A 22178-nucleotide genomic window follows, 5' to 3' on the forward strand; every position below is an offset into this window, starting at 1 on the left:
TTTAGCCTGTCTTCTTCCTTGCCCACAACCTCAAGCCTTCTCTTCATCAGACCAAATGGCCCAAATTTCTCCAGTCATTCTTCCTAGGTAAGAATTTTCAGTTGCCTCTTCCGCACAAACTCTACTTTTGCAAAGGAGGAGCTTGGCCCTGAGCACAGCCCCACGAGGAGAGAGGCAGGGTGAGAGGAACAGAACCAGCTCAGAGGAGAATGGGACAGTCACCACCCTAGACTTCTGTTTATGCCTCCTGAGATCACACTGGTTCATGTGGCCGTGCTAGCACCTCCTAACTCATGCTCAGCTGCTTGCATGATCAAATTGAACCCCCAGGTTGCATCTCCAGGAAACTATCCATCTCTAAGAGTCAGTGGGCAGCCTGTGCTGCAACTGGGGGGTACCCCAATGGCCACCAGCCTGGGCTCTGGAGGCAAGGACCTGGCTTATGATCTTGGCCCCATATTTACTGTGTGCCCTTGGCTAAGCCACTGTACTCATCTCACCAAGCCTCAGCTACTCTGCCTGCACAACGGGGATGATGGGAGTTGTTGTGACTTGGTAATGAGGTGGGGTAAGTAAGAGTCTTTTCAGAACAGAGCCAGGCATGCCATAAGCAATGAATACATAGTAGCTACAGCAATTACTACAGCAATCACTAAAACCCAATATATTTATGAGCTCAGATAAGAGACAAGTTGGTGCAGGCCGAATTGGTGCAGGGCCATTGAAGGCCTCACAGGGCAGGCAGGACTCCTCCTGGGCCCGGACAGGGTAGGATTTAGAAACAGGCTGAAAGAATGTTCCAGGCAGGGAAGCAGTGAGCAGCAGCTTAGAGAGTGAGCCACAAAATTAAGAAAGTAATAACTGTAGTACCTGTCACGAAACACGCTCAGAGCCTCACCTGGGATTCACACGTTCATGCACATACACACATGCACACGCCAGCCCTGGGAGAGGCTGGGTCATGGGCAGCAGCCCCCTTGGACACAGGAGCAGCCCAGCCTGTGTGGGCAGTGAAAGGTCAGGCCTGGCCACAGCCCGAGGGTCTTGTGAGCAAGCAGAGGGACATGGGGACGGTGAAGGGGCGTGATGGGGATGAAGGTCCGGGGTTGGGTTTCAATGGTGGGAAACCATGAGGAACTCTTATAGGAGGTAGGCTTCAAGAAGAAAGAGATCCAACGGTAGTCGCAGGAACAGGACGAGAGGCAAGAAGTCCCAGTGAAGGTTGCTTCCAAGGTGAGCAGAATAATCCAGGCCACAGATCCCGGGCTCTGGGACACACTGCCCTCAAAGCAGTCACACCTCATCTCTGCGTTCCACCCCTCTGTGGTTGAGGTCCCCTCCTGCTCCTCCACCCCATTGTACCTGACTTCCTGTCACTGACCCCCATTTCAACCATCCAGGCCCCCTTGCAGCTCCCTGCCCACACCTGCATTCCTCTCTTCCCACAGTCCTTTGCCTGTGCTGCTCCTTCGGCCTAGAATGCCTTCTCCAGCCCGCCATCTGCTATTGCCACGGGGCTGCATTCTGCCCTTCCCTCAAGGCACCTCCTCCAGGAAGCCTTCCTCTTTCTCAGCCTGGCCCACCTGTCTCCCCACCTCCTCCTCTCCTCCTCTCCTCCTCATGGTGGGACACAGATCCATAATGAAGGAAAATGAGCTCTCTGAAGAAAAAAACCACATCCTCTTTCTCCCCAGGGTACCCAGCCCTTTTTCTGCCTCATGGTCGAGGTTCAGGCCATCCCTGATGACCAAGCTCAACATGCTCAGAAGCACAAACCAGCCCCTTCCCAGGAACAGGATGCCCACAGGAGAAGGCAATGCTGTTCGGCCCACCAGCCTGGAGAGGTGCCACCACTGAGGGGGCAAAGCAGCTGATGAGAGCAGGAGGCATTTCTAGTGGTTTTCTCTGTTAGACAAGGGGCAGATCTTCTCCCAGTTTAACCTCCTGTGACCTTTGAACTCCCTGGGAGGTCAGCAGCACATCCCCTTCCCCAGCTGTCTCTCTGTCTCTGGCCCAATGGGAGGGAGGGCCCTGGCCCGTTCCATTTTGCACCCGTATTGATCTATTGGCAGCAATGGGATGGATAATTAGCCAGGAATTAGGGTTTCTATTACAGCCAGGAGGCTGCTCCAGCTGATTTATCACCTGAATAATTTACTGTGATTGAAAGGAAATTAAAATGAACTCCATTTGACAACTGTGAGCTTTTATGGGCTTTAGTGAAGGCTCAAAAGCCAGATTAATAGCCTGGTGTTGGTTAATAGTCTGCCGAGAGTAAATACGGCAGGCTATGCTCCGTAGCCTTCCTGTGGCCGCCGGAGGAGGGACCCGCTCCCAACAGGAGCGCTGCGCCGACGACAACGTCAACGGGAGTTTTACTGAAACAGATACCACTGTTGGAAACATACACACACACACGCACGCACATACACACGTGCACGCACACACACTCGCCACCAGCAGCTTTCTTTTCTTTTCTTCCTCCAACGTGATTTTTACTCACTCCATATGTAGGGAAAACAGAATTGCTTTTTCAATAACCGTTTTGAAAAGGAAGTGTTTCATTGCCCAGGCGTGGTCAACATTAACGCCTTCCACCCAGGGCAAAGCGTTTACTACATTTCCCTACAAAAGCCAGCAGCCTGGGCCCACCCACCCAGGTAGATCTTGGCGGGAAAAGCTGCAAGTGGGGCAGGCTCCGAGCTAACAGCAGTAACTGTCAGGACCCCTGCCTGGCCCCAATGAGGAATGTTCTTCCCATGGGAGACAGGGTGGGAGGATCCGGGAGGATGTGGCCTCTCCAAACCTATGGCAAGTTCTGAGAGTTCTGGATGACAGGCAGACTCTGACTGAAATAGGCCAGGTCTGGAAACCAGCTAGCCAGAAAACTGGCCCCTGGAATCGTCCTGGACCTGGAGGCCCATGGAACCATCTTGCATGAGATGAAGACAGAAGACCCTGAGATGAGATTCCAGCTCTGCGGTTCAACAATCTTGGAAACTCCTTGAATAAACAATCTGTGAAAAAAAATGTTCTAGTCTATACAATGGGGCTCCCGAATCATGCCCAGCCTGTTTGGCAGGCATTTGCCTCGGGGGTCCAATGAGAGGATGGATGTGAACGGTCTTTGTGAACTGAACGCTGTGGTGTGTAGGTGAGGAGGATCGCTGTCGTCACGTTCGGTTTCGGCTGCTGCAGCTGTTCTTGTTGTTGTCGTCATCAAAATCATGATCACTTCTACCACAGATATGGAAACTGAGGCCCAGAAAAATAGTGACTTGCTCGGCAGGGCAGAGCTAGGACTCAAATCAAGCTTCCCGACCCCAAGGCCAGTAAGTGCTCTTTGTTCCCCACCAAGCTGCTCAGCGAAAGTGACAGCAAGGCCCCCATCCAGGGCACTAGGCCACAGAGACACACACTGAGACAGCTCAATCTGCTCGAAAATGGAAGAGGCAGCCAGCCTCCGCGGCCAGCACCTCAGGCCCCCTTCCTGTCACCACCGCCATGCCACGCTGGGGCTCACAGGCGAGGCCTGTGGAACATTCACCTCTTGGAGAGCTAGCATGAGGGGCTCAAGGAACCTGTACCCTTGACTGACATCCCTTCCCAGCCTGCGGCCCCTTGCTCAGGCATCATTTGTCCAAAGTGATTGGGAATCGGGCACGAGGGTATGTCATTCATAGTCCAGTGCCTGTGTGTGGGTGCAGGGCAGCCCCGTCTCCTCACCTTCCATCTCTCCTCATTAAAACACATTACAGGGAGGTGAAGCAGATTAACCAGAAAACACTGGGTCAGTCATTATCCTGCCACACAGTTCGCCTGCAGTCGCCGTCTCAGAGCGCACAGTCAGAGACAGGCCTGCAGACGTGCCTGCTCATTCTGAAGGACACTGGAGATGCTGAGTCCTCACAGAGTTTGTAATCAGGTCTCCTCCCCATCAGACCCCATCTCTCCATGAGCCCATGGGACCTGTCCTTCAAGCCCCCCATCCAACACTGCCCCCTCAGTGCCATTGTCCTTGATGCTCCCAACCCAGGTAACATCCCCCTCTCTGGCTGACACCTCATCAGGACCCTCTGAACAGTCTCTCTTGTCCTGCGGGCTCTGAGTCCACAGCACGCTGCCCCTGCGAGACTGGACAGAGCTGATGAGCACTTGGCACTGTGCCTGGCTCCCAGCCCACGTTCAGGGAAGAAGTTAGAGGAGTGGCATGTGAGCAGGTGAGTGAGTGAATCCATGGGCGGCTTCCAGACCACTCAGGGATGAGGTCTTGCAGGCTGCGTGGTCTTCCTGGGCACTCTGAGCTAAAGGAGTTATGGTGCAGATTCTGAGTCTCCATGACGGTCATGTGAAACACAGAGGGAGTCTCACACGGAGTGTCTGTGTGAATAAGGGGTTCACAGAAACACTTGTGCTGCAGAGGCCAGGTGGAGTGCAGAGGCCTGGATCCCCGCTCTTCCCTGTTCACTTGCTGGGTGACCTCAGACATGCCCTGTCCTCTCTCTGGGCCTCTAAAAAAACAACAGGTTGAAATCTTGCCTCTGTGGCTCCTGTTACCCCTAAAATTACATGATCTTGTCAGCCATTAGAAGATAAACTTTCTGGCCGGGTGCAGTGGCTCATGCCTGTAATCCCAGCACTTTGGGAGGCCGAGGCAGGCGGATCATGAGGTCAGGAGATCAAGACCATCCCGGCTAACACGGCGAAACCCTGCCCCTACTAAAAAATAGAAAAAATTAGCCGGGCATGGTGGCGGGTGCCTGTAGTCCGTCCTACTCGGGAGGCTGAGGCAGGAGAAAGGCGCGAACCCGGGAGGTGGAGCTTGCAGTGAGCCGAGATCGCGCCACTGCACTCCAGCCTGGGCGACACAACAAGATTCTGTCTCAAAAAAAGAAAAAAGATAAACCTTCTGGCTGGGCGCAGTGGCTCACACCTATAATCCCAGCACTTTGGGAGGCCAAGGAGGGTGGATCACCTGAGGTCCGGAGTCCAAGACTAAGCCTGGCCAACATGGTGAAACCCCATCTCTACTAAAAATACAAAAAAATTAGCCGGGCGTGGTGGCAGGCACCTGTAATCCCAGCTACTCAGGAGGCTGAGGCAGGAGAATCACTTGAACCTAGGAGGTGGAGGTTGCAGTGAGCTAGGATCACACTACTGCACTCCAACCTGGGCAACAAGAGCAAAACTCCAGCTCACAAAAAAAAAAAAAAAAAGAAGATAAACTTTCTTCCACATTCTGGAGGGAAGGACAGGCCTCATCCAGGAAGGTTTCCTGATCGAGGCCCCTCTCACTCTCCTCCCGTGTCAGAGAAAATGTGCCTTCTGCCGTCTCTCAGAAGGGCTCTGAGCAGAGCAGAGAGGGTGCTTGTGATAGAAACAGACTCTCCTCCCTGAAGTCCAAGATCTAGAGTGTGTGGGGGCGGCTATGCCCAGCACCATAACCATGTCCTACCCAACAGAGGTGTCACTCGACTTGTAAGAGAAAGACTAAAATCCTCAACCCAGTCTACAAGACCAGGCCCACCTCCCCAGCATCATCGCCCGCCCATCCCTGAGCCACAACCACACCGGCTCTCTCCATTCCTCGTTCCTGCCGCCTTCCTCTCAACTCAGGGCCTTTGCACTTGCTGTCCCCTCTGCCAGGCACTTTCCCTCCACCCCCACACCCCTTCTCCTTGCTCCACTCAACCCCTTCAGGCTCAGCATAAATACCTTTCCCCCAGGAGGCCACTGAGGCCTCCAGGCTGGCTCAGCCTTTCCTTTAGGCTCTCAGAGAACCTCAGACACCTCCTCCTTAGCACCAAGCGCACCTGTAACCCATGACCCTTTAGGTAATTCTTCTATTGGGATTCTTCCACAAGTCTGTAGGCTCCCTGAGGGGAGGTCCAAGACCATCTTGTTCACTGATGTGACCCAGTGCATGGCTCCAGGCCTTGCACAAAGTAAACACTCATCATATTTGTTATGTGAATGCGTCTTGCAGCGTGGCCTTAGGCAAGTTGCTCTGCCTCTCTGGACCTTGGTTTTACCATCTGAAAACAAAGTGGCTAGAAGGTCTGTAAGAGCTCTCATAGAAACTGCTCAGACACAGACAGACTGTCATAGATGGGTGGCCCCAGAGGCCCTGCTCTTCCCTCACCACACGGTTCTCTCCAGCACCTCGCCTCTCCATGGGAGCTGTGCAGGGAGGCTACACTGCTTGGACTGACTTTTTGGAGAAGATTCAGAAGCATCCTCTAATTAGCATTTAGAGGAAACTCAGCGCAGCCAGTTCTCACCACTAGTACCAGCGAGGAAAGTGCCGAGGAAAGTTGTTGTCTGTAGGGTCTCTCTGGTTGGCCCACCAGGTGGGAGCTCTTGGCAGTCCAGAGCCATGTCTAGCCTGCAAGGTTACCTGTCAAGGCCCTGGCACACACTGGGTGTCAGGAAATAGTCTTATGAACTGAATCTGATAGTCCAGAGATCTTAGTCAGGCCTCAAGAGCCTCTCACTGGGCCGAGCCTCGTGATCTCATCTCTATAGCCACAGGTAGTGACTACTCTGCCCAGGGTATAGCAGACAGCCGGTCAGCCAGGGCTGGTCCTCCTGCTTTCTCCCTCTCTTGCAAATAACCCAGGTGGGAGTTTGTGCAATGAGACATTTCTTTATCTCCAGAATTTTGGATTCAGTCACTAAGAGAATGACAAGGCGACCTGGTGAGAGGGCAGACAGTGGGATACCCACCCGCTCCGTCATTCCATTGTTCACGGCCGGTGAGCCCCCAGGCCGCGTGCTGGTTACATATTTCCACCATCACCCTGACTGACAAGATACTGACCCAAGACCACCTTACGTGGCCCGAAAGATCATTACACCCTTCTGTCCAAAGAGCCCTTGGAAAGGACACCAGAGCAGCCAGAGAAGTCACCCACCCCCTGGCTGGCCAGCGACAGAGGCACCAGGGCAAGAAGCCACTGGAGGCCCAGACAAGCCCTCCCGACCTTATAGGATGTAGCGACTGCCCAAGTTTGGCCAAGAACACTGAAGAGACCTCTCTGAGCAGAACCTGGTGTGCCCTCACCCACACCCCGCCAGATGCCTCTGCCTTCAGGAACCTGGCTGGGCCGGTGTGGCGGTGGCAGGTGTGGTGGGCGTGCATCACGAGGCGTACCTGCTCGGGCTTGATGGGCTCTGTGGTGGTGAAGATGTCTGAGTAGTGCTGCCTCTCAAACACGCGGTCCAGCACCTCCAGCTGCTGCTGTGTGAACAAGTCTCCCCGCATCTGCTTCCGGAGGAAGTCTCTGCCCGGAAGCGAGTGGCCGTTCGGCACCGGAGACTCCTGAATACCTTTGATGAGCAGGAGAGAGGAAGGGTGAGTGGAGGTTATACACGTTGCTAAAGAAAGACAGGTCAGACCCTGAGACTATGAAGAGGACCTGACCCCAACTCCCTCCCTGACCAGAGAATACACCAGCAGGGGCTCAGGTAAGGCACTGCCTTTCCCAAGGTCACCTGCTGGTAAGTTCAGAGTCAGCCTCCCGCAGCCATGTGCCAGGGACTGTGCAAAGCCCTTTTGACAGGCATCATGTCATCTAATCCTCATGATGACCCTCAAGGTAGGTTATTTTCCCCACTTTGCAGATGAGAAGACTGAGACCTAGAGAGATTTATTGGTTTGCCTGAGGATTCGAGCTTGGGCTGACCCACAGGCTTAGTCATCCGGTGCTCCTGCCCCTCCTGTCCTAAAGACCTTCCCGGGAGGTACAGTTTTTCCCAGAGTTGAGGTCCTTACCCTGGACATTTGCTACCACATCATGTGACCGGTCAGTGAAACACTGTGCTAGGAAGACTGTAGGAAAACGGGACTCTCATACAATTCTGGTGGAAGTGGTAACAACACCTGTGCTAGACAAGTCGACAAATCTATCAAAGCCACAAATGCACATTCCCTTTGATATAGCGATTGCACTTCTGGGAATTTATTTTACAGCTCAACTTACACATGTGAGAAGTGATGTATGTACAAGGTTCTTGTAGCAAAAGACTGGAAACAACCCAAGAGTTTATTTGTGGGGGGTTGGTTAACTCAGCCAGGCATACTTGCATAATGGAAAACTGTGCAGCAGCTGAAAAGGAATGAGGCTTCCTTCTGTGAATTGATATGAAAAGATCTTCAAGATACATTGTTATGTTAAAAAATAAAAAACAAGGTACAGCACAGCATGTATAATGTACAACCTTTTGTGTAAAAAAGGAAGAAAATAAGACGATGTGCAATATAAATCTCTCCAAAGGATATATGAGAAACATTTACAGTGGTTGCTCATTCAGGGAGGTAGGAAGTGAGTGAGTGGAGGTGAGGGGGAGAGACTTTTCATGGCATGTTTTTCTTTGGTTTGGTTTGGTTTCAGAAGTTTGAATGTACTGCTTATTACAAAATGTAAATTAACTAAGTATAAGATTAAATTCCCTCTGTGTTCTGTATTGTTAGCTATTCACACTGTAACAGTCTCTGGTGATGATGCTTACATGTCAAAAGAAATATTACGAATTATCAATAAAGAAACAAATGGGATGAAATATCTTCTGTTGAGTCTCAAGCTTGAACTGTTCAAAATAAAATCAAGCACAGAGGGCAAATGTTTCCCGTGAGGAAATGGCCTCGGGGGTACATCATTCCCCGGGGCTCTCTGGGACCATATTGCTCACGCAAGGCTGACCAGAGGCTTCTTGAAACCCAGGCCCAGAGGTGAGGCATCTGCCTTTGCAGTCAGGAAGCCCTGGGGAAAACCAGCGTGGGTCTGCTCTCATGCTGAAAGGTGCCCTTACTCAAGGCCTTGTCTGACCCCTGCCCCCACCAGTGCACTGCTGCCCTAGACTAGACTTCATCCGTCACGTCAAGCTCCCACCCATGTGAGGAATGAGGCCAGACTAAAGACCATGAAGCAGTGAGATGTGGTGTCACCAAGACTCAGTCAGAAGTCAATGCTTCCTCAACTGTACTTATCTGGGGACAACTGCAATGCAGGGCTGACATTTGAACAAAGATAGCAGCTTTGAGTTTTGGCCTTTCGGATCCCTCGTAGAAGTCAACAGGCTCAGAGGACCCAGCATCCTCTATAGGAAGGGCCTTCGGAGGCAGCTCATGAGCCCTCTGAGAAAATGGATTCCCCACCAATTTTGACCCAAGAGGATACTGTAGGCTGGGCCACAGCCTGAGTGACCAGATACCCCCACATGTGGGCCAAGGCAGAAGTTGGTCTCTCTGACCAACGTTCCCCAGCCTGAAGCCTAGGCCCCTCCTCTGGCAGCCCATGACCTTGGCCTTCCACAAGACAGGTGCCTGCTCCTGCCCACAGGACATCATCCTCAGAGACCCTTCTCCCATCATGGCCCATCCCCATGGGGACCATTCCCACAAGGTCACCTAGACTAGCAGGTATGGGAGCTCACGGCCCAGTCTATCTGCCCAGCAGTGTTCTTCCATTGGTCAGCACCCACCAAATGATCCTTTTCTCAAAGGTTCTATGCACACACACACATGCACACACACATGCACACGCACACGCACACCAGGAAAGATGGCTCAGTTTTTCCTACTCAGCTGTGGCTCTGCCCAGTCATCCTGGTCCCAGTCACTCTTGCTAAAGCATGACGTGGGCCTTGGTCCCCAGGACACCACCAAGTTCCTCCTTGTCAGAAGGGGCCCATCCACTTTCAAGAGCTTCTCCCTCCACCAGCTTCAGTTATACTTCCCAGCCCTGACCCTGCCAGCCGGGCCCAAAACTCAGTGAAACCTCCTTCCTGTCAGCCATCTCCTAACAACTCCCGCTGAGGCCTGGCTCTGTCCCCAGCAGGGCAGTGCCCAGCTCCTCCGGCCCACCCAGGCTGCTCCATCAGATCCCCTCAACTCTGCCCCTCTAGGGGGCGTCTCTTCAGCCAGCCAGGCCATCCTCCCAGAGGAGTCCTCAGGCTTGATCCCTCTCCCCCGGGACTCATGGGCCAGGCTCTTTCCACAGCTCAGAGCCCAAAGTTCAGAGAGGGTGGCTCCACTGAGGGCCCCTGGGGGCAAGGTCACTGTCTGGTCACCCAGTAGAGCCCAGCACAGAGTAAAGGCTCAGGGCACACAGGCCCTCAAGTGTACACACAGGGGGTGTTAGGAGACCCTCCCCCTGAGGACACCACACAGACTCAGCACAGGCAGCCTCGCTGGACACGCGCCCCTCTCTGCAGTCTCCCCAGAAGCAGACTGGCTGCGTCCTGCTCTGGTTCTTTGAGAGTCAGCCATAGCCTCTGCCAGCTGAGCCTGTAAGGATATCTAGGCTGCCAGGCGCCGTGGCTCATGCCTGTAATTCTGGCACCTGGGAGGCCGAGGTGGGTGGACTGCCCTCGAAGGGCTGCGAGCTGGGCAGAGCCTGCCTCTCCGGGCATTCACCCTGTCCCGCGATTCCCCTCACCACTCTCACCCCACCAGCACCTCGCTTGCTTTCTTTACTAGGGAAATAATGGCAATAGTGTCTGTCATTTCCTTAAGAAGGATTTGGACACTCCAAAACACATAATTAGTTATTCATTGGTTTAACAAATATTGATAAAATATTTACTCTGTATCAGGTAATATTTTTTAAGTAAATATATTTTAAAAATAAACAAAAACAGGGGATACAGTGATGACCAAGACAAGCCTCTCTCTCTCCAGTCTAGAGAGGGCAGCCCACTTTAGTCAAGTGATCACAGGAATAAACATAGGATTACAAACAACGGTGACTGATGCTAGGGTGAAAAGAGAGCATAAAAATATATCCATGTGACCATGTGTAATGGAGAGGGGAGTGGCCTCCTGTGGGAGGAATCAGGGAAGTCTCCAAGAGGAACTGCATGGAACCGTGAGGAGTGACCAGGGAGAGGGGATGGGGCAGAGAGGGTGCCAGACTGAGGAGATGCTCGTACAAAGGCCCTGAGAGAAGGGGGTGAAAGGAACAGAGGGAGAGAGGGAAGAGGCCCCAGGAGAATCTGGAGAGGCTGGGAGGGATTGAGCCAGACAGCCCCAGGGGCCAGAGAGAGGATCTGAGCCTTGCTGCAGGAGTCTTGAGGAGCTACGGGAAGGGCTGGGGAAACATGTGCCCTCCACATTTCTCAGTCCCAGGGCCCGAATCGCTCGTTCCTTCAGGTCAGGCCATGCTTTCTAAACTCTGCTCCCAAGCCTCCTCTTTTGGTAGAAACTAGGGGCCAGGGGAGGTAGGAGCTTGCATTTGTGGGTGTTTGAAGGTGGATCTGCTGAGTCACCTGTTCAGCCGCAGGTGATTCACTGTGCCCATATGGAATGGAAACCATCTCCCATGGACACGGGCATTGTTCTCCAGACACAGCCAGAAGCACACATGTCTCCTCCTCCAGGATGCCTTCCTTCATGCCCCAGCTGGTCCTCCAGCTCCCATTCTTAGGGCTCTGACCACTTTCTCCCTTATTTTAGGAACCACATCCCCTGGGCCCTTCACTCCCACACTGTGCTATGAGCTACCTTCGGGGTAAAGGTGGGAGGTAATTCATCTCTCTCTCCTCCAAAGCGAATATCTGTGGAATAAATGAATGAATTGGTACTACCTGTGACAAGTGTGACAAGCACCATCACTCTGCATGTCTGTCTGAAAATGTCAGGATCCCTCCATTTGACCTCACACATTCATCATTCTTCCCTCCACCAAGCTTAGTGAGTGCTAATGCCAGGGACACAGTGATGGGCAAAAGCTGAGCCAGCCATTGTCCTCATGGAGTTATGTCCAGAGGAGGTGGCAAACAGTAACTGAAAAATAATCGGACTAGTAAAGGTACAAGTATCAACCAAGATAAGTACTCTGACTGAAAAGGCGCATGGTCTTAAGAGGGGACCCTCTGTCCTGCCTCTGGTGTCGCACACAGTGGGTACTCAGTGAGAATGAACCAACAAACAGATTATATGCTCAGAGACAGCTATAAAAATTAATCCCAAAACTCAGCCCTTGCACAAGGGCAGGTCTGAACCTCCAGGCCTCCAGTGTAAGCTTCCGTAGCATTTCTCATCTGCACCATGAAGATGCTGTCTGACTTAATTGGAGAATGTGGTCTTGGAGGCAGGCTACAGAAATGCTCAGACCCATTTTATTCCAGGGAGAAAAGTCTGAACTCACAAAGTGAATGGTATGCTTAAATATATGGACAGACACGGGCAAAAGTACAAAGGTGTACAGGGGGCATGGTATCTTTAAATCTTTTTTTTCTACTCCAAGTCAAATAATATGTAATAGACCCAGTGCTGGGCTTAGTCAACCATGGCTCGTAGAATTAACATTCTGGAAGCTAGCTTCAGGGGAGCAAGGGGCAGGAAGCCCCGTCTCGGGGAGCAAAGAAATGCTGGCTTTAAATTTCAGGTTAAACCAATGTTATTCACAACCCAGCTTTGAAGCTAAAAGCTTTACACAATCGGGTCTGGTCACGCAAAAAGGGAAGAAGCAAAATAGCCTCAGATTCCCATCTGTCAAGAGAAAGCTGTCTCTTGTGTGTCTTAAAAGATCATAAACCCATTGCATTTTCTTCAGAGCACAGCAGATTCAGGGGTTTTGCATTTTTCTTGGAGGGTTCTGGTTTGTTTCTTTAAAAATCATCATGCGCTTTATGTCTGCAGATGCTCACTAGGAGGAAAATATAAAAACAAACAGGAATCTCTGAAATCCCTCCTAGCATCATGGCTTTTGGGATGTAACCCCATCTGGAGGCTGAAGAGCCCCAGGAAAAGAGGCTAGAGCCGCCAGGTCAGCCTCCAGCCTTTCTCAGAGTCCAGTTTCTCTGCAGAACCCAGGCCAAAGCCAGAGCCCTTATACAGCTTCCTTCATCCTCACAGCTGCTCCTTAGCATGGCAGGGCCGTGGCAGGGCCCAGTGGGAAAAGGGTTGGGAGCCAGCAGTCCCGGGTTCTAGCCCCAGCTCTGCTGTTACTTGCTGTGTGGGCCCAGGCAAGTTCCTCTCCCTCTCTGAGCCTCAGAGACCCCAGTAGTAAGCTAAGGTAGCTGAGTTGGTCATTTCTAACCCCTTTCTCCACCAAAATCCACCTAGATTTTTGTGTGCTAAGTAGTATTAAATGAGCATTGACTTATTTTCCCATTTTGGTTGTTGTGCAGTCTTTATAGGGGACTCCCTGGCTATGATCCATCCCACCGCTAAGAGACTGCCTGAGCCAACCAAGGGGATCCCATCCTCTTGAATGAGCACTCCTGTGATGAGAGGCCTGTTGGTTGGGGGTGGTGGGAGTGCTGGGGGAAAGTCAGAGACAGGAATAAATCCTTTTTCTTCACAGGGATATATTTACTCTTAAGCTGTTTGAAACTATGAAAATAGGCTGGGCACGGTGGCTTATGCCTATAATCCCAGCACTTTGGGAGGCCGAGGCAGGCAAATCACTTGAGGTCAGGAGTTCGAGACCAGCCTGGCCAACATGGTGAAACCCCGTCTCTACTAAAAATAGAAAAATTAGCCAGGCGTGGTGGCGGGAGCCTGTAATCCCAGCTACTCAGGAGGCTGAGGCACGAGAATCTCTTGAACCCAGGAGACGGAGGTTGCAGTGAGCCGAGATTGTGCCATTGTACTCCAGCCTGGCTGACAGAGCGAGATTCAGTCTCAAAAAAAAAAAGAAGAAAGAAAGAAAGAAAAGGAAAGGAAAGGAACGGAACGGAACGGAAAGGAAAGGAAAGGAAAGGAAAGGAAAGGAAAGGAAAGGAAAGGAAAGAAAAGGAAAGGAAAGGAAAGGAAAGGAAAGGAAAGGAAAGGAAAGGAAAGGAAAAACTGTGAAAATAACTCCCAGATCCCATTCCTGTTTTATGCACTACAACACCCCCACCTTACCCCAGGGTCCAGGGCTGTCTCTAGATCGGCCCAGTTTGCTGCTTGTAACCACAGGCCTCTGGCACTGCCTGCATGCCTAGACTTGCCTCCCTTGTGAAGATGGGGGACAGAGCAGGTCCTGATGGTCATCTGCCACAGGAGTACAGAGCTGGGGTGACTGGCAAGATGAAATGATGTGACTTGGGGCATTTTTCCAGTTTGGGTCAAGTGAGTCCAATGAGCTTGGAATTGGCATCTTCAGGTGGCTGCAATGGCTAATTCTCAAAACAACCTATAAAGTAGACACCCACCAAATTCAGACCATGCTAATTTGTAACTTTAAAGGATTATTTCAGGCTGAGAGCAGTGGTTCCTGCCTATAATCCCAGCACTTTGGGAGGCTGAGGTGGGAGGATCACTTGAGGCCAGGAGTTCAAGACCAGCCTTGGCAACATGGCGAGACCCCCATCTCTACAAAAAAAAAATTTAAAAATGGCTGGGCATGGTGGCTCATGCCTGTAATCCCAGCAGTTTGGGAGGCCAAGGCAGGCGGATCACCTGAGGTCAGGAGTTCAAGACCAGCCTGGCCAATATGGTAAAACCCCGTCTCTACTAAAAATACAAAAATTAGCCAGGTGTGGTGGCACATGCCTGCAGCTACTCGGGAGGCTGAAGCAAGAGAATCACTTGAACGTAGGAGGCGGAGGTTGTGGTGAGCCAAGATCATGCCATTGCACTCCAGCCTGGGCAACAGAGTAAGACTCTGTCTCAAAAATAATAATAATAATAAAATTTAAAAGTTAGCTGGGGTGTGGTGGTGCAGGCCTGTAGTCCCAGCTACTTGAGAGGTTGAGGCAAGAGGATTGCTTGAGCCCAGGAGTTCAAGGCTTCAGTGAGCTACAATGGTGCCACTGCACATTAGCCTGTGTGACAGAACAAGACTCTGTCTCTAAAAAAAAACCAAATAATTTTTTAAAAGGGATAGGAAGCCAAGGGATTTGTTCTGGGGCTATGTTAGCAAAACTCCTTGTGCGAGACTGAGAGAGCATTGTCTGTCCCTAGCAAAGAATGAAGTGGGGCTGACATTAGATAACAGGGCTGCAAAGCTCCCCACACCCCCTGTTCTCACCCCGGATAGAGCGCTGTTCAGTGTCAGGCACTGAGCCAAGTTATTTGTGCATCCTTCAGTTTCTTTGACCTTCAGAACATCTCTATGAAGTATGTATTCTTATTCCACTTTACAGATGAGAAAACAGAGGCTCAGAGAGCTTGAGTCACTGAGGTCCCTCAGCTCAAAGTGGCAACGCTGGGATTTGTACCTAGGTCTCTTATCTGCAGATTCAGCACTCAGGACACCTCCCTTTACTCTTCCTGTCAGCTGCTAAGATGAAAGCCCTCAGTTTCCTCATCTGTAAACTGAAAACAACAGTATGCAGGACAATTCGTGGGGCTTTTATAAGGATTAAATGAGATAATCTCCATGACACTTTAACACGGCACCTGGCAGAGAGTTTAGTGTCCAAATAATGCTAGCTGCTGTCATCCTCATTTTCATCAAGAAAACCCTTCCAAGGCTCCCCGGGGACAAAGCCTGAGCCCCCGAGGCCTCGACGACCTGCCCCTCTAGTCAGGGTCACCCCCCACTTCACCCCGCAATGCCATCCCAGCAGGCCGTTTGTCAGCCCTCATGTGTCTCTTCCCCACTGCTCCCCAGTGCCCCTGGACATTCTGCTCCCTCTGCTGGCATGCCCTTCTCTCCTGCCCAGCAAGACTCAGTCTAAAAGCTGCCTCCTCTCTGAAGCCTGCCTCCAAATCCAAAGGCTGAATTCACCACCCTTTCTTCTGGGTGTCCTCAGCACGTTGCATGGGCCACCACTATGGCCTGGATTCTACTCTTCACAAACCATTCTGTGAACTCAGTCCTCTTGGAACCTCCACTTTACAGTTAAGGAAGCTGGCACAGAGAGATGAAGTAATTTGCCCAAGATAACACAGCAGAGCACTTGCACAGCTCCTACATGTGCTAAAGTGAAGTTGGGCACTGTGGCAGACCTGGTACAGAACAGTGGGGAAGCCTAGGCACTCTGAACTCATGGGGGCCCGGGTTCGAATTCCAGAACTCTGTCTCTCACAAGCCCATGATATTTGAGCAATTTCTTTTTTTTTTGTTTTTTGAGACGGAGTCTTGCTCTGTTGCCCAGGCTGGAGTGCAGTGGTGTGATCTTGGCTCACTGCAAGCTCCGCCTCCCGGGTTCACGCCATTCTCCTGCCTCAGCATCCTCAGTAGCTGGGACTACAGGCGCCCGCCACTATTCCCAGCTAATTTTTTGCATTTTTAGTAGAGACGGGGTTCCACCGTGTTAGCCAGGATGGTCTTGATCTCCTGACCTCGTGATTCATCCACCTTGGGCCCCCAAAGTGCTGGGATTACGGGTGTGAGCCACCACGCCCAGCCTTGAGCAACTTCTTTAACTGCTCTAATCCTCAATTTTCTTATCTGTAGAGTGGGATAATAATAGTATCTGGAGTTGACAAAATAATTTAATGAGAATACATGTAAAATACTTAGCATAACCCCTGACACATAGTAAGTGCTCAATAAACGTTAGCTGTTTCCAGAATTAGTATTTTTTTCCCCTGCTAAAGTATGAGCTGAGGGCAGAGCCCATGTCCCATTTACCTCAAGCATAGGAGATGCTAATGAATGTTTGTTGACTGAATTATTAAGCTAGGAAGGCTTGAGGGCTTGCAGGGCTGTATGGCTCAGAAGAATTCAGCACTAGGACAGTCGCTGGTATCATCAGAGAACTCAGGAGTGGCTTCTATTATATCAGTGATCTCAGAGGAGGAAAAAGTGAAACAACTAAGAGTTTATGTCTCGCCTACTTCTAAGACAGATTTGAGGCTGTTCATAGAATTTTGAACTAGAGTGGATGATAAACTACTAAACTCAGTTGAGCTCTAAGCTCCCTGGCAGCATATACCAAAAAGAAAATGCAGCAAGTCATATATTGCTCAGAGTCCAACAACAACAACAAAATGCTGTTCACAGACTCAAGCTCAAACTCATTACAGAGCTTCTATTCTCTGCATGGTGCTGTTTGGGGTGCTTAGAGTGATCCAGAGATGACTAACAACAGGGAGGGGGGTCCTGGAGAAGGGACGATCAGAGCCAGGCCTGGGAAACAAGATGCCAAGGTAAGAGATGGGATTCCGGGTACAGGCAACCAGGTTAAGTTGGCAAACGCTTCTAGGACATCTACTATGAGCCAGGCCCCATGCTAGGGATGAGGGTGGCCAGGCTCTAAATGTCCCTTGGTAGCCTGGAACAAAAACAAATGTTCTGAGTCATTTTCTAAATCCTGTCCTAAACTGGGGCTGCAGACTAAGAAAAATCAAGGTGGCATGGAGGAAAATTTCCACTGAAACTACCATTATTCAGCCATTTGTTTCACTCAATCTTTCTTCTTGGAGAAGGAAAATGCGAAATTGTAAAATTGCCAAATACGTTCAGGTTTGACCAGAGTGAATCCGATTGTGCCGGGTGTTACCCAATGAGTCACAGGCTGTCAGTGTGGGAAAGGCCCCAAGGGCTGGTGATTCCACATTCGAGGATGGCAAACGGGAGGCCAGATGGCAAAGGGATCTGTCAGGGGCCAGACAGCAGATTCAAGGTGAGCTTGGACATGAGGCCTCTGACTCCTGCCTCAAGCCTCCTGGATCCGTTGATCCCTGAGCTACATACTGGGTATCTGGCCCTGCCCTTCCCACCAGAGCTAGAGAGAGCTTCAAGTCTTAGCCCCGTCCCCTACTGGAGGATGAAGACAAGTGAATAATTGCAATGTAGTGCGATAAGTGCTAGGAGCCTGAGAAGCAGACACAGCCCTGGGAGCCTAATGCAAGTGGCCAGACCCTATTCAGAGCTCACTCTGCGAGACACTGTTCTAAGCACCTTCCCTATTGGATCCTCACAAAAACCCTAAGATGTCAAGTCTGTTATTGCTTCCTCCCATTTTACAGATGAGGAAACTGAGGCAGGGGGTTAAATAACTTGCCTAGTCACAAGATCTAAAGATTGGGGGGGTGGGGGGAGGGAAGAAAAAAAAGAGTAACTTGCCCAAGATCACACAGCTAAGAAGTGGAGAAGCTAGGGTCCGAACTCAAGCAGTCTGGTTCCAGAGTCTGCTCCTAGCCCTACACTAACTCACTCCACTTAATCCAGACTAGGGGCAAGTGTAGCCCAAGAAAGGCCCCCTGTAGCCCGAGTCTTTTTTTGTTTGTTTTTTTTGGGGTTTTTTTGTTTTGTTTTGTTTTTGTGAGATGGAGTCTCACCCTGTCATCCAGGCTGGGGTGTGCAATGGCACCATCTTGGTTCACTGCAACCTCCACCTCCCAGGTTCAAGCGATTCTCCTGCCTCAGCCTCTCAAGTAGCTGGGACTACAGGTATGCACCACCACACCCGGCTAATTTTTTGTATTTTAAGTTGAGAAGGGGTTTCACCATGTTGGCCAGGCTGGCCTCCCAAAGTGCTGGGATTACAGGCATGAACCACCATGTCCAGCCTTACCCTAAGTCTTAAGGATGGAGTTAGCCAAAGAAATGCCCAGGGAAGAGGAATTGCATTCCAACCAGAGGGAACAGCATCTGCAACAGCCTGGAGGCACAGAAAGCATGGTGCAGGGGAACGGCTATAATTCAGCATGATTAGAATTCAGGAGTTGGAGGAGGGGAAAGGGAGTGAAGTGTGAGAGGCTCTTCCCTCTCTGTCGAGCTGTTCAGCATCACTATCCATTATCCAGAACCTAATATACACTCTGATATACAAACAGTGCAAATACATTATTGAAGCTCTCATGGTGTTGGTATGAAGAGATGGGATTTCTCTGTGCTAAAATGAATCAAGATGACCTGAAACAAGAGGCAGAAAGGAAGTAATACCTGGTGCATTGCCACAGGGCAAGTCTGTTCTCTCTAATCCATACTGTCCAAGTCCATTACCTCATACAGTAGTCCCTAATTACTCCACCTTACAGAGGGATATGCACACTAATTAGAAAGGATGTTAACCGCCATAGTGAAAATATTCTGAAGCAAATGAAATATTACTAGGAGCAAAAGGGTGATTTGTTTCTGTGAATTGTGCTTTTAAATGAGATCAAAGAATGTGAAAGGCTTCATTTTAATTATACCTGGAAGGACCTGGAAGGGATGCATACATCCCTTTTATGGCCTTCATGCACACAGCAGTCTCTCTCCCATCCCCCACTGCACAGAAATAAATAAATAAATAAATAAAAGGGTTTAAAAATCATATTTACTCTGATATCTTTGCATTACCCCTATTTGAGTTTTTAAATTACTGTCTGTATTTTTTCCCAAGGACGATATAACTAAAAAGAAGGTTCGTATTTGAAGTGTATCTATCTGATCATTGCACAAATGTTTTCAGGAGAAATCACTAAATTTCTCCAAGATGGGTATGGGTTTTGTCATAGATCAAAGTGAGAGGGAGGAAAAAAAAGATAAATCATCAGAGATCCAAAAATACTTTTCATTTGGAGAAGATATCAGGCCATTTCGATGGGGCTGATGGAGTCCCTGTTCTGTCTCCATTACCCGCAGCAGGCAGCCCCAGCCAGGAGCCAACTACCAAGATTATATTCCCCATAAGATGGTCCCCGATATCTATATATATATATGATCTTCAACCTCTATTGATTGACCAATTTCACAAGCAAAGACTGGTGAAATGAAGCTGAAATGAACATCATGCTTTAACTCATTGAACCTATCAGGCCTGAGTTAATCTCACTGTCCACTGTCTCTGATAGAATTCAATTGATCAATCATGTTTCGGTGATAGTACCATTTCACTGGCTTATTGCTTCTTCATTTCAGAGCTTGACCTGTTAGATGTACTCGGACTGGCTCGACTCCTCTTGGATACACAGAGATCAGCCTCTGTCTGCCAACGTGTGTCATCTCCTGTCCCAGTTGAAAAGAACTCAAGAGGCTTTTGTGTATGTCTGTGGTGTGTTTTTCCACCAAACACACACACAGGAATGGTGGATTTATGAGGGTGTGGAACTGAACAAGCACAAATTATAAGAAGGGCTCTTCATTATTCATGGAAGCACAATTATTTCCCTTTTATGTAGTTAAATTGACGTGTTTGGGCTCTGTACCTTATAGGGGCATATTCTTGTATTACACTGGCAAGTGTGCATGCCTAGACATCTGAAAAGGATAACAGCGACAAAATGATAACAATCGCACCCCTCAAATACATATTCCTGTGGCATATGAAACATTCATCAGCTTATCTGATTCTCCTGATAATCTCAGGAGATGGGCAGGAGATTACGATTCCCATTTTGCAGATGAGAAAATGGGCTCAGAGACGGAAAGTGGCCTGCCCAGGGTCACACAGCAGAGTTATCAGGCCAGGTGAGACTGAGAGCCCTGGTGTCTCACCTCCTCAGTGCCTTGTACCCCAGTGAGGCCAATCTCCAGGCAATTTCAGAATTACCAAGCCATTTTGGACAAATCACTTTGTCCCCAGCTCATTGGATGAAAGAAACATCCCCAAAATTCAAATCAGAGAATTCTGGAGCTTGGAGTGGATTCCAAGCCTGTCTACAGCTCCTTGTGCAGCTTGGAAACTGAGGCCCAGAAGGCAATAAACTGTTGCCCCAAATCACCAGGATACTCAGCAGCCTAACAGAGACTTGAACTTGGGTCCCAGGTTCTCAGGTCAAGACTTTTTCCACTTTCTCTCAATGCCTCCCTAATTTATGTCAAAACAATGAACTCCTATCGACAGAGAAGACTTCATTCCCTACTGTCAACATGGCCCAATGCACTGCTATGGTTCCTTCGTGGCATTTAATTTAATTTTCCCAACTCCAAGCCAAGACTATGCTTAGGGAAATCAGGAAAGCGGCTTGCACCGGTGGCTGCCTGAGGGAGGTGGCTCTTGGAGGCACAAGGCTGAGCCCAGCATGAGAGTCTCTGGAGGAGGCCAGGGCAATGACAGTCTGCAAATAAGCTTTGCATCTGCTCAGAGCTGGCAGAGTCTGCAAACACACTAATGGACTTCCCTCTGCCTGTGGGGAGTTGGGGAGAAGCCATAAATAAAGCAGGTGCCTCTGGGGGGAGCCATTGCCGAAGCCAGAGACAGGGCTGGGGATTAGGAGCTGGTTAAGGGTTGGGGGAGGGGCTTTGGGCCACCCACTGCACCGCATTGCACTGCCTCCCAGACAAAATGACAACCCACTTACCAGCAGCCCCAATCCCCACATCCCAGATTCCCCAGTCTCTGTTCCAGTCAGTCCCTTGTCTGATGATATCAATACATTCACAATTCCAGACACAGAAGGGTTGGGGGAGGAGGGTCATACAGTCTAATCTGGCCACAGTGTAGAGACCCTGTTGGAGGGAGATGAGACTGAGGCCCAGGGTCGAGTGGGAGCCCTCAGCCAGGACAGAGCTAACAGTGGGAATGGCTATCCAGAGAAGGGGGCAGGTTCGGGAGGTGATTAGGAGAGAAGGTATGCTGGAGTGAGTGACTCACTGGAGGTAGGGGAGAAAATGCACCTCTGAAGTTCCCTGTTGGAGGTTCTAGGCTGCTGTCTACTCCCACTCTGAGCAAAACCCACAGCCCCTCACAGCTTACTAGGCTTTACTGGTACTTAACTGGGTACCCCCCCAGCAATCCCACCTTTCTGACCTCGTTTCCTCCCACTCTTTCCCCGCTTATTCTGCTCCTGCCACACTCGCCTCCATAGGGTTCCACAGTCATGCCAAGCTCACCGGCCTTGGGGTCTTTGCACTTGCTGTTCCCTCTCTCCGGAAACTTCCTCCCCCAGATATCTGCCTGGCTCACTCCTCCCTCCATTAAGGCCTCTGCTCAAACGTCAGCTCATCAGTAGGACCACCCTCCAAAAACAGCAAAGCCCCCCCCCCCTCAGCCCTGCTTCATTCCCTGTCTCCTCACCTAGCTTTGTTTTCCTCCAGAGCATAGAACAGCATGCTGCTTATTTTCCTTATTTAGTTATTGTCTTTCTTCCTTAGAACGTCACTCATGTGGGCAAACATTTTTGTCTGTCTTGTTCATTGCTGTGTCCCCAGCAACTAGGACAATACCTAGCACACATAGCAGGCACACAATAAATACTTGTAGAGTGAATTTCACTGAAACTGGCAAAAAAAAAAAAACAAAAAACAGGTACAAAGGAGAAGGGAGACAGCTGCTCCGGTGTGACCTCCTACTGGGAAATAGTGGCCACACCCTCCCAGGGGACATCTGATGCTCCCCTTCCATGCCTTGCCTAAGGGAAAACA

At 50.3% G+C, this 22178-nt stretch overlaps 1 protein-coding gene across 13 annotated transcripts in view, besides 3 other annotated features; it reads right to left on the reverse strand.

Annotated features, from left to right (window-relative positions):
* The window catches only part of PAX5 (paired box 5), a 201000-nt gene that overhangs the window by 126127 nt on the left and 52695 nt on the right, over positions 1-22178 (reverse strand). For all 13 annotated transcript variants that reach the window (NR_103999.2, NR_104000.2, NM_001280551.2 and 10 more), the window contains one exon: positions 7154-7329. Coding sequence is in view for 11 of the 13 variants with exons in the window: in NM_001280551.2 (NP_001267480.1) it covers positions 7154-7329 (176 nt within the window). In the remaining 2 variants the exon portion in view is untranslated. The remainder of the gene's footprint in view (positions 1-7153; positions 7330-22178) is intronic.
* Positions 1987-2978: an enhancer, noted in NCBI's record as "H3K4me1 hESC enhancer chr9:36961379-36962370 (GRCh37/hg19 assembly coordinates)". NCBI's record gives its function as "activates a minimal SCP1, AML or CMV promoter by ChIP-STARR-seq in naive H9 embryonic stem cells {active_cell/tissue: H9 hESC(naive)}" and the evidence as "EXISTENCE:reporter gene assay evidence [ECO:0000049][PMID:30033119]".
* Positions 2979-3969: an enhancer, noted in NCBI's record as "H3K4me1 hESC enhancer chr9:36962371-36963361 (GRCh37/hg19 assembly coordinates)". NCBI's record gives its function as "activates a minimal SCP1, AML or CMV promoter by ChIP-STARR-seq in primed H9 embryonic stem cells {active_cell/tissue: H9 hESC(primed)}" and the evidence as "EXISTENCE:reporter gene assay evidence [ECO:0000049][PMID:30033119]".
* Positions 21033-21532: an enhancer, noted in NCBI's record as "H3K4me1 hESC enhancer chr9:36980425-36980924 (GRCh37/hg19 assembly coordinates)". NCBI's record gives its function as "activates a minimal SCP1, AML or CMV promoter by ChIP-STARR-seq in primed H9 embryonic stem cells {active_cell/tissue: H9 hESC(primed)}" and the evidence as "EXISTENCE:reporter gene assay evidence [ECO:0000049][PMID:30033119]".

Source organism: Homo sapiens, chromosome 9 (genome assembly GCF_000001405.40).
Source record: "Homo sapiens chromosome 9, GRCh38.p14 Primary Assembly".
NCBI lineage: Eukaryota > Metazoa > Chordata > Mammalia > Primates > Hominidae > Homo > Homo sapiens.